The sequence below is a fragment of the Homo sapiens genome, chromosome 14, assembly GCF_000001405.40.
Source record: "Homo sapiens chromosome 14, GRCh38.p14 Primary Assembly".
NCBI classification, from domain to species: Eukaryota; Metazoa; Chordata; class Mammalia; order Primates; family Hominidae; genus Homo; species Homo sapiens.
The window spans coordinates 56,003,351-56,015,974 of NC_000014.9; the positions used below are offsets into that span (position 1 = coordinate 56,003,351).

At 40.7% G+C, this 12,624-nt stretch overlaps 1 long non-coding RNA gene across 2 annotated transcripts in view; it reads left to right on the plus strand.

Moving 5' to 3' along the window:
- Positions 1-1,337: 1,337 nt before the first annotated feature.
- Positions 1,338-12,624, plus strand: part of LOC105370512 (uncharacterized) — a 42,851-nt gene continuing 31,564 nt past the window's right edge. For both annotated transcript variants that reach the window (XR_007064183.1, XR_943899.3), the window contains exon 1: positions 1,338-2,567. This is a non-coding gene — a long non-coding RNA (uncharacterized LOC105370512). The remainder of the gene's footprint in view (positions 2,568-12,624) is intronic.

The following is a 12,624-nucleotide window of genomic DNA, read 5'->3' on the forward strand; positions in this document are numbered from 1 at the left end:
CTTCCTCTGTATCACGTCTGGTTTCAGAAAAGAGCCTCGCAGGGCTAAGCGTGCAGGGGAGCAGGAGGCTCCGAGGGACAGGAGACTTCCTCACCAACCAGCCATCACTCAGAGCAGCACGCAGGGCTCTGCACGCCCCCTTTCTGTCTCTCCTGAGGTGTTGTTAATTTGTAGAATATTATTTGAAAAATACTTGCTCTGTTTGTCCTCAAGGATATCATGCGTCTTTTCTCAGAAAAACAAATTAATGCTCTCCTCTTGATGAAGTTTAAATAAATAAATGTACAGTCATGAGAAATATGATAGGATGCAACTTCTTTTTTATTTTCTTTTTTTAAAGTTGGGGGTCTCACTCTGTTGCCCAGGCTGGAGTGCAGTGGCAGGATCATAGCTCTCTGCAGCCTCCAACTCCTGGGCTCAGCCTCCTAAGTAGCTGACTACAGCCATGCACCCTCATACCTGGTTAATTTTTAAAACACTTTTTGTGGAGATGGGGGTTTCACTGTGTTTCTCAGGCTGGTCTTAAAATCCTGGCTTCAAGTGATTCTCCTGCATCCTTTGCCTCCCAAAGCACTGGGATTCCAGGCATGATCCACAACACCCGGCCTAGGATGCAACTTCTAAATAACTACATAGAAATATGCTTTTCTCAAAACACACAACAGCATGGGCTAAACTCTAATACCTCCATTCAGTAAAATTAATTTTGCTTAAATGCTACCCAGAAAGCCCCTTTTGTTTTGAGGGGTGTGTGTGTGTGTGTGTTTTCTGTTTTGGAATTTTTCTCTTTCAGTTCTCATTGTCCCTCAGAGCAGTTCTCTCTCATATGGCTTTGGGAGGCTACTGCTAGCCAAATGCTGCACAGATAGTCAAAGTCGGTAGTGTGCAGTGTGGGCAGTGCAGGAATTACTGGGGATTCAACCCATGTATAAGGTTCATGCAGCCTTCGTGAAGTCTGGACCCTGTAATAGGTCTTCTAAGTGGGCCTGACGAGGATTTTAATTATGTCCTGTCTCTCCCATTTCATTTGAATTGAGCTCTGGGGTCCAATGTCAGTGGAGGAAACTGGAGACATGTGCCCCTAGCAAAATGTCATATTCTTTCACTGCACAGAGAGCAAGACCTGGAGGAAAAGAGGACTAGCAGGAGAAATAGGGTAAGTGGTGGGCAGGCCCACGTTAACTATTGTAATTTGATTGGTCAAACAGAATCTTGGAACCATTAGATCACTCTTTGGATTGTTTTGCATTTCTGCCTGTCTCTTTTGTTTTAAAATCTCTATGTTTTAAAATTCATCCCCCCCCCAAAAAAAAAACCCCAAATATATATATATACGTGTGTGTGTGTATGTGTATGTGTGTGTGTGTGTGTGTGTGTATATATGACAGATTTTAACTCTGGCCAAGAAAAGCCATTCCCAGTAGAAATCATCCCGAACCACAACTCAACTGTGGGCCTGAGGCAGCCAAGAAATAATCTTTTTAAATATTCTGATCAGGGACTTGGAAAACAGAAAATTTAAAACTTCAGCTCAGAAGTGTATGATTAACTCTGAGCGGATGTGGTGGTTCTAGCCACGTAATTTTAGGCGTTCTAATTGGCAGTTTAAAAATAGCAGAGTCGCAGGCTGCTCCTCGGTGCTGCTTCTCGCTTTGTTTCGCCCATGAGTATGCACTGTACTTAAGGAGTCTTAAGGCTGCTGGCGACGGGCTGGGAACCAGGACTCTTATCTCCCGTCTCCCAGGTCTGCCGGACTCTGTCCTGACACACCACAGCGTCATAAAAACTTGTGTTTTCTTAGGATTCCTCCTAGCCGCCGGCTCACAGACATATTCCTCTTCCTTCTCTAATAACTAGGTGCTTAAAGGTAGTGCTTCGATGATAATATTCAAGTAAATCAATTTCTGGGTACCTGAAACTTCCAGCTGAGCTGCGTCATTTGCTTGCCAGGTAACAAGTACTTCAGGATGTCATCAAGAAAAGGAAAACACTGATTTCAAATAACCAATTATTTACAAAATTCTTTCCCATATCTGTGTGAGGCAAGGTCCGCAAGATAAAACAAATGTTTGTTTCTCTTTACTGCTGTTTCCATGGGCAGCAAGATGACACATCAGCGTAGACACCCACGAGGGAGCTGCATTTTTCCCTTTTGCATTTCCAAGGAACCCCAGGAGTCCCATCTGGTCTAACATAAAGTCATGTATCTTTACCTAATTTTGGCCTCTGAGTTTTCCTTCTGGGAGACACTTGCTGCTTCACTGTGGAGGGGTCTAGGGGTAGAAAGCCAGCTGGAGCTGTGGAGCTGTTTATAACACCCCAAGGACTGTTGTTCTGCCCCAAGCAGGGGGTTTGTTGGGGCCCATGCAGGGGGAGTCTCAACGGGCAATCCCCCGTTCCTCGTGGGATGTGGTTTATCATTCCTGCTTTGAGTTTCATTAACATGGAATCTTGCACTTTCCCAACCAATGACGCCACAAAAGAATAAACTATATTAAGTCCATAAATCTCAGACTGCCAAGTCCCTGGAATATCAACTGATGAAACTCTCCGCTTTCTAACCTGAGGTGAGTAATAAGTTTCCCTCTTCATTTGCATCACGGGCCTCAGGGTGGAGAGAGCACTGCTATTATCAGGGCACCCTTTTCTCTCTGCTCTCTTCCCTACAGGGTCTTGTAACCACTGCTCTCATACATCTTAAACCCTCTTGTAGGCCAGCATCGCAGTTCAGGCCTGTAATCCCAGCACCTTGCGAGGCCACAGTGAGAGGATCGCTTGAGGCTAGGAGTTAGAGGCTGCCATGAGCTGTGATTGTACCACTGCACTCCAGCCTGGGTGACAGAGCCAGACCCTATCCCTAAAAAGAAAAACCAAACAACAACAACAACAACAACAGCAACAAAAACCCTCTGATAACGCACTGTTTTTGAAAACAGGAAACGAACAAAGTTGTTTTTGCCTAGCTGTCTGGGAACAGAAGGTGAAGCCTGCTGATAGGATTCTTGTCTTTCCTCCCAAGCTCTTGGATACACTTTAGGAATATTAACCAAGGCATGTGTTCCTCTCCTCACTCCTCAGTGTCTCCTTCAAGCCTCTTCCACAGGAGCCAGAAAGAAGGGGATTCACAGGAAAAGAGAGGCCATTCCCTCTCTTACTTCCCAAAGAGTCATGGTGAGAAAGAAGGCCTGAGGGTGGAGAGAGCCTTCCCTCTCCTTTCTTTTTTTTTTTGCAAGGTCACGGGTGTGATTTTTCCTCTACTATCTTTATTTTTTTATTTTTTATTATTATTATACTTTAAGTTTTAGGGTACATGTGCATATTGTGCAGGTTAGTTACATATGTATACATGTGCCATGCTGGTGTGCTGCACCCACTAACTCGTCATCTAGCATTAGGTATATCTCCCAATGCTATCCCTCCCCCTCCCCCCACCCCACAACAGTCCCCAGAGTGTGATGTTCCCCTTCCTGTGTCCATGTGTTCTCATTGTTCAATTCCCACCTATGAGTGAGAATATGTGGTGTTTGGTTTTTTGTTCTTGCGATAGTTTACTGAGAATGATGATTTCCAATTTCATCCATGTCCCTACAAAGGACATGAACTCATCATTTTTTATGGCTGCATAGTATTCCATGGTGTATATGTGCCACATTTTCTTAATCCAGTCTATCATTGTTAGACATTTGGCTTGGTTCCAAGTCTTTACTATTGTGAATAATGCCGCAATAAACATACGTGTGCATGTGTCTTTATAGCAGCACGATTTATAGTCCTTTGGGTATATACCCAGTAATGGGATGGCTGGGTCAAATGGTATTTCTAGTTCTAGATCCCTGAGGAATCGCCACACTGACTTCCACAATGGTTGAACTAGTTTACAGTCCCACCAACAGTGTAAAAGTGTTCCTATTAAAAACCCTAGAAGAAAACCTAGGCATTACCATTCAGGACATAGGCATGGGCAAGGACTTCATGTCTAAAACACCAAAAGCAATGGCAACAAAAGCCAAAGTTGACAAATGGGATCTAATTAAACTAAAGAGCTTCTGCACAGCAAAAGAAACTACCATCAGAGTGAACAGGCAACCTACAAAATGGAAGAAAATTTTCGCAACCTACTCATCTGACAAAGGGCTAATATCCAGAATCTACAATGAACTCAAACAAATTTACAAGAAAAAAACAAACAACCCCATCAAAAAGTGGGCGAAGGACATGAACAGACACTTCTCAAAAGAAGACATTTATGCAGCCAAAAAACACATGAAAAATGCCTTCCCTCTCCTTTCACAGGCCCCCCCTTCAGCATTGACGTCATTCAGTCATCAAAGGGACCTGTAAGACGATCTGCCTGTTCTCCTGTGAACAATGGTTAAGAACGCATTCAAGGGGTTTCCAGGGGGATGAGGCTGGGTGTGGCAGAGAGGGCTTGGGATCATTATTTAAATCGCTTGGCAGGAACACTGGTCCATTTTCCTTTTGTGATATGCCAAGGGAAAGGGTCTGGGACACCAGAGGTCCCTCATTCCTGATGATCAAGTGTGGCCATGCCTTCTTTTCTGTGGAAGCATGGAATTGAGCCATAGTTCCCTGATTCTTCATTTCATTACATAGTGTGGGCTTCCTTTTGTGCTTTGAAAAGTATCTTCATTACCATTCTCATCTGATCTCTTTTTTACATCTTGCTAACAAGGCCTTCTGTATATTTGCAGGTGTTGAATTGTGAGTCTTTTTTTCTTTACTTTTCTTTGTATTTGCATTACTTTTTAAAAATTAATAGATTATATTTTTTGGAGCAGTCTTAGGTTGACAGAAAAGTGAGCAGAAACTGCAGTGCTCCCATATGGCTCCTTACTGCCCTCAGTTTCCCTTATTATTAACACCTTTTGCTTTTTATTAACATTATGAACAGCAGGGTCAGGCGAGAACTTTTGTGATGACAAAGGACTTTCACTTCCATTATTTCATTTAATAGCAGACTGCACAGGAAACAAGAGTGTTACATGATGGTAAACATCATCATAGTTACAGATGGGGTGGGGACAGCTAGGAAGCCCACAGAGTCTCACCCCACTCCAGTTCTCAGGGACCTAACCATGGTGAAGATGGATTCATAAAAGAAGTAGGGCTTCAGGTGGGTTCCCCAGTGCCCAGAAGGGAAAAATGGGACTATTTCCTATTGTTGCTATAACAAATTACATTAATGCATTAGCTATTTATTCTGATGCTAAATAAATAAATAGCTAAATGCATTAGCTAAATAGCTAAATGCATTTAGCTATTTATCCTAATGCTCTCTCTTCTCCCACCCTTCCAACAGGCCCCAGTGTGTGATGTTTCCCTCCCTGTGTCCATGTGTTCTCGTTGTTCCGCTCCCACTTATAAGTGAGAATATGCAGTGTTTGGTTTTCCGTTACTGCATTAGTTTGCTGAGGAGAATGGCTTCCAGCTCCATCCATGTCCCTTCAAAGGACATGATCTTGTTCCTTTTCATGGCTGCATAGTATTCCATGGCATATATGTACCACATTTTCTTTATCTAGTCTATCATTGATGGGCATTTGGGTTGATTCCATGTCTTTGCTATTGTGAATAGTGCTGCAATGAACATATGCATGCATGTATCTTTATAATAGAATGATTTATCTTCCTTTGGATATATACCCAGTAATGGGTTGCTTGGTCAAATGGTATTTCTGGTTCTAGGTCTTTGAGGAATTGCTACACTGTATTCCACAATGGTTGAACTAATTTACATTCCCACCAACAATGTAAAAGTGTTCCTATTTTGCCACAGCCTTGCCAGCAACTGTTGTTTCTTGACTTTTTAATAGTTGCCATTCTGGTTGGAGTGAGATGGTATCTCATTGTGGTTTTGATTTGCATTTCTCTAATGATCAGTGATGTTGAGCTTTTTTCATATGTTTATTGGCCACATGACTATCTTCTTTTGAGAAGTGTCTGTTCACTTCCTTTGTCCACTTTTTATTGGGATTGCTTTTTGAAGGATCTGTTTCCTTGCCTTTTCCAACTTCTAGAGGCTGTTTTCATTCCTTGGCTAATAGCCCTTTCCTCCACCTTCAAAGCCAGCAATGGCAAGTTCAGTCTTTCTCATATCACATCTCTCTGACATTGACCATTCTTCTGCCTCCCCCTACCACATGTAAGGACTTTTGTAATTAAGTAATTAAGTTATACGCATGTGCGTAAAACAGGAGAATCTCCCCATCTCGAGGTCAGCTGATTAGAGCTTCATTCCATCTATAATCTTAACTCCTCCTTGCCAGGTGAGTTAACATATTCACAGGTTCTGGGAAATAGGACATAGACATCTTTGAGGACCATTTTTCTGCCAACTATATGAAGCATTGTCTTGGAGAAGTGGAGCCTGGAGTCAAAGTCACCAGTGAATTGCAATCTCATCCTCCTCAGGGGTAAATGAAAACTGAATGACTTCTTCATTCAGTTCATGTGTCATTCCCTCCGGGAAGCCTTCTGTATTGTCTGGCCTGGCCAATACAGAAGACAATAGACATATGTGGCTATTGAGTACTTGAAATGTAACTAGTCTAAGTGTAAAATACACATTAGATTTCAAATACTTAGCACAAAAAAGAATAAAATACCTTACTAATGGTTTTGTTTGTTTTGTTTTTTCAAAGACAGGGTCTCATCCTGTCGCTAGGCTGGAGTGCAATGGTGTGATCATGGCTCATTGCAGCCTTGACCTCTCAGGCTCAGGCAATCCTCCCACCTCAGCCTCCTGAGATGCTGGGACTATAGGCACATGCCACCACACCTGGCTAATTTTTATATTTTTTTGTAGAGGTGAGGTCTCACCCTGTTGCTCAGGCTGGTCTTGAACTCCTGGGCTCAAGCAATCCACCCACCTCAGCCCTGCAATGTGTTGGGATTACAGATATAAGCCACCATGCCCAGACTTACTAATGATTTTTAAAATATTGAATATATGCTGAAATTTTAACATTTTGATATATTGGGTTAAATAAAATTGTGAAATTACCAACTTAATTTCGCTTACTTTGTTTTGTTTTTTGCTTTTTTAATGTGGCTACTAGAAACTTTCAAGTTGCATATTTGGCTTGTTCTACATAAGGGGTCTTCAAAATTTCGTGGAAAATGCATATTATGAAACTATGCGTGGATTTCAGTTTGTTTTGCACCAAAATAAACTTTTAATAACTTGTTACAACATGTCTGAATAGGATCTAGTTTGAGGCGCTAAGAAGGTTAAGCCATCAGTTTGAAAAGAGCTTCCATCAAAGCAACATGAATTCTGCTAAAACTGAAGCAAAAACCAACATCAAATTTATGATAAAGCTTGGGTGGAAGAATGATGAGATCATTGATGCTTTATGAAAAGCTTATGAAGACAATGCCCCAAATAAGTAAGCAGTTTACAAATGTAGAACTCATTTTAAGAGGGGACTAGACAATGTTGAAGATGAAGCCTGCAACAGCAGACCATTCACATTAATTTTCGAGGAAAAAGTCATCTTGTTTTTGAAGAGGACAATTAACAGAAAAAATAGCTGACACCACAGACATCTCAATTGGTGCAGCTTATGAAATGCTGACTAAAATTTTAAAAGTTGAGCAGATTTTCCACTTGATGGATGCCAAAGCCTTTGCACCCAGATCAGTTGCAGACAAAAGCAGAACTTTCAATGGAAATTTCAAACAAGTGTCATCAAAATTCTAAAGCGTTTTTTCAAAGAATTGTAATAGGAGATGAAACATGGCTTCACCAGTGTGATCCTGAAGACAAAGCACAACCAAAGCAATGGCTACCAAGAGGTGGAAGTGGTCCAGTCAAAGCAAAAGAGGACCAGTCAAGAGCAAAGCTCAGGGCAAAAGTTTTTTAGGATGAACAAAGCATTTTGCTTGCTGACCTTCTGGAGTGCCAAAGAATGATAACACCTGTTCATTATGAGAGTGTTTTGAGAAAGTTAGCAAAGCTTTAGCAGAGAAACACTCAGGAAAGTCCCGGAGTGAAGGACTGGAGAGTCCTTCACTACAACAATACTCCTGCTCATTCCTCACTTGCAGAAGGACAATTTTGTGAGAGTTTCCATGGGAAATCACTGGCCATCCACCTTATAGTCCTGATTTGTCTCCTTGTGACTTCTTTGTTGTTTCCTAATCTTAAAATATCTGCAAAGGGCACCCATTCTGTATAATGTATAAAAACTGCATTGACATGGTTAAATGCCCAGGAGCCTCAGGTCTTTAGGGATGGACTAAATGGCTGGTATGACCACTTACAAAAGTGTCTTGAACTTGATGGAGTTTACGTTGAGAAACAAAGTTTATATTTTTTATTTTTATCTTTTCATTCCACTTTCTACAAACCTTTTGAAGTTCCTTTGTATTTTTATTGGCCAGGTCTGCTCTGGGCTGAGCCAAGTGCTTCTTCCATGTGCTCCTGCTGTCCTTTTTTTCTACTCTAACACTTACCTTCCAGCATAATTACCAACTTGCATGTCTACTTTCCCCACCACATGGTGAGTTCTTAAAGGGCAGGGGCTGTGTCTTGTTAATCATTGTATCCCTTGTTCTAGTATAATGCCCAGAATGTTATAATACTAATCATTGTCATAATCATAATTAACATTTATATCGTGCTTACTGTGTGCCAGGCTCTGTTCCAAGCACTTTCCCTAATAACTCATTTAATCCTTACAACACTCTCTAGCTATGCGAGTTTAGGAAGTTATTTTAACATTTTGTGTCTCAGTTTCCTTAACCATAATATGAAGATACTAGTACCTACCTCATAGCTACTCATAATATGAGGGTGGGTTAACTAGTTATTTTATATATACATACATATTCACATACACATGTACAGATACACATACATCCATATACATACAGTAGTACTCTGGTCTGCAGCTTCACTTTCCATGATTTCAGTGACCTGCAGTACAACACATATGGAGACAGAGAGAGACAGAGAGAGAGAGAGACCTCATTCATATAACTTTTATTACAGTATATTGTTATAATTGTTCTCTTTTATTAGTTGTTGTTAACCTCTTAGTGTGTCTAATTTATAAATTAAACTTTTTCATAGATCATATAACAGGTATCATAGGTATTTCAAGGTATACATTTTGCCTATATGTATAATATAGGAAAAATATAATGTATATACAGGATCCTGCACTGTCTGTGGTTTCAGGCATCCCCTGGGGGTCTTGGAAAGTATCTCCACAGATAAGGGGAGACTACGGTACATACCTTCGTATACATAACGTTATATACATAGTCTATACATATAATATGTATGTATGAATGTATATAATATTTATAAAAAGTTTAGAAGAGGTCCTGCACGTCCTCAATGTGATGAAAATGTTTTTTAAATAAGCAACTCTTTGAGAAAGGCGCTACTCTTATCTCCATTTTAAAGATGCCAAAACTGGCACAGAGAGGTTAAGCAACTTGCCCAAGTTTGCAAAGCTTGTTAGTTTTAGAGACAGGATTGTAACCCAGGCCGTCTACACCTTTTAAATACTATGTTGTACTGCTGCTTAATATTTGAATGCATGAATGAAAATGTAAGTGAATTAAAGAAAGCTCTACAATACAGTGATTTACTCAACACTGCACTGCTTTTTGGAAGAAAAGTTGGGGCTAAAAGTCAAACTCGTAAAATTGAAGATGATTTAAGAGGATGACAGTGGGTGGTGAGGAGCCTATACATTATTCACACCTTAATGAGAATCAATTTAATAAGACTGTTATCTCTCTGCCATTTCCTGAGGTTAGTTGTACTGAGGGAGAGAATGGGAATAGCAATGGAGAAGAGCAGAGAAGAATCTGGGGTTGTGAGTGTGACGTTAAGAAAGACCAAGACTGGGTAACATAGACAGTGAATGTTTTGCCAGCAGGGAGACCTGGGGACAGGTTTGACTTTAGAAAAAACTTCAAAGTTGTAGAAGTTTTCTTTTGCTATAGTCAGGCCTGCTCAAAGAGTAGAATAGAATTGGCCATGACTTGGAGATTACAAGCCTTGCCCGTAAAGAGTACAGGGTGCAGAAGAAGGGATTGCTGCTCCCATTTCCAGGCCACACACATTCCATTTGCTTAGGTAGAAGCATTCTACCCTGACTTTGTCTCTCTCATCTGACAAACTGACCCTAGAGAAGAAGCAGGGATAGATGGGAGACTCACATACTTGTCTAGAGTCTTCTGCTGTGACCCACTGTTGTGTGGTTTGAATGTGGCCCCCAAAGTTCATATGATAAAAACTTAATCTTCAATGCAACAGTGTTGGAAGATGGAACCTAATGGGAGGGGTTTAGGTTATGAGGGCTCCACTCTCAAGAATGGATTGATGCCAATTATAAAAGTGCTTGTTCCTGTGAGTTTGATCTCTTGCTCTCTCTGGCACATATGATCTCCTGCCCTTCTGCCTTCTACCATGAGATGACACAGCAAGAAGGTTCTCATCAGATACAGACTCTTGACCTTGGACTTCCCAGCCTCCATAACTGTAAGAAATAAATCTCTATTCTTTATAAAGTACCCAGTCTCAAATATTCTGTTATAGCAACACAAAACCAACTAACACACCCACCAAGTATGGGAACTTACCGGTGAGATGGATTTTTTTTTTTCATTTGCTTGCTTTTTTTTTTTTTATTATTATACTTTAAGTTTTAGGGTACATGTGCATATTGTGCAGGTTAGTTACATATGTATACATGTGCCATGCTGGTGCGCTGCACCCACTAACTCGTCATCTAGCATTAGGTATATCTCCCAATGCTATCCCTCCCCCCTCCCCCCACCCCACAACAGTCCCCAGAGTGTGATGTTCCCCTTCCTGTGTCCATGTGTTCTCATTGTTCAATTCCCACCTATGAGTGAGAATATGTGGTGTTTGGTTTTTTGTTCTTGCGATAGTTTACTGAGAATGATGATTTCCAATTTCATCCATGTCCCTACAAAGGACATGAACTCATCATTTTTTATGGCTGCATAGTATTCCATGGTGTATATGTGCCACATTTTCTTAATCCAGTCTATCATTGTTGGACATTTGGGTTGGTTCCAAGTCTTTGCTATTGTGAATAATGCCACAATAAACATACGTGTGCATGTGTCTTTATAGCAGCATGATTTATAGTCCTTTGGGTATATACCCTGTAATGGTATGGCTGGGTCAAATGGCATTTCTAGTTCTAGATCCCTGAGGAATCACCACACTGACTTCCACAATGATTGAACTAGTTTACAGTTCCACCAACAGTGTAAAAGTGTTCCTATTTCTCCACATCCTCTCCAGCACCTGTTGTTTCCTGACTTTTTAATGATTGCCATTCTAACTGGTGTGAGATGGTATCTCATTGTGGTTTTGATTTGCATTTCTCTGATGGCCAGTGATGATGAGCATTTTTTCATGTGTTTTTTGGCTGCATAAATGTCTTCTTTTGAGAAGTGTCTGTTCATGTCCTTCGCCCACTTTTTGATGGGATTGTTTGTTTTTTTCTTGTAAATTTGTTTGAGCTCATTATAGATTCTGGATATTAGCCCTTTGTCAGATGAGTAGGTTGCAAAAATTTTCTCCTATTTTGTAGGTTGCCTGTTCACTCTGATAGTAGTTTCTTTTGCTGTGCAGAAGCTCTTTAGTTTAATGAGATCCCATTTGTCAATTTTGGCTTTTGTTGCCATTGCTTTTGGTGTTTTAGACATGAAGTCCTTGCCCATGCCTATGTCCTGAATGGTAAAGCCTAGGTTTTCTTCTAGGGTTTTTATGGTTTTAGGTCCAATGTTTAAGTCTTTAATCCATCTTGAATTGATTTTTGTATAAGGTGTAAGGAAGGGATCCAGTTTCAGCTTTCTACATATGGCTAGCCAGTTTTCCCAGCACCATTTATTAAATAGGGAATCTTTTCCCCATTTCTTGTTTTTCTCAGGTTTGTCAAAGATCAGATAGTTGTAGATATGCGGCGTTATTTCTGAGGGCTCTGTTCTGTTCCATTGATCTATATCTCTGTTTTGGTACCAGTACCATGCTGTTTTGGTTACTGTAGCCTTGTAGTATAGTTTGAAGTCAGGTAGTGTGATGCCTCCAGCTTTGTTCTTTTGGCTTAAGATTGACTTTGCGATGCGGGCTCTTTTCTGGTTCCATACGAACTTTAAAGTAGTTTTTTCCAATTCTGTGAAGAAAGTCATTGGTAGCTTGATGGGGATGGCATTGAATCTGTAAGTTACCTTGGGCAGTATAGCCATTTTCACGATATTGATTCTTCCTACCCATGAGCATGGAATGTTCTTCCATTTGTTTGTATCCTCTATTACTTCCTTGAGCAGTGGTTTGTAATTCTCCTTGTAGAGGTCCTTCACATCCCTTGTAAGTTGGATTCCTAGGTATTTTATTCTCTTTGAAGCAATTGTGAATGGGAGTTCACTCATGATTTGGCTCTCTGTTTGTCTGTTGTTGGTGTATAAGAATGCTTGTGATTTTTGTACATTGATTTTGTATCCTGAGACTTTGCTGAAGTTGCTTATCAGCTTAAGGAGATTTTGGGCTGAGACGATGGGGTTTTCTAGATATACAATCATGTCATCTGCAAACAGGGACAATTTGAC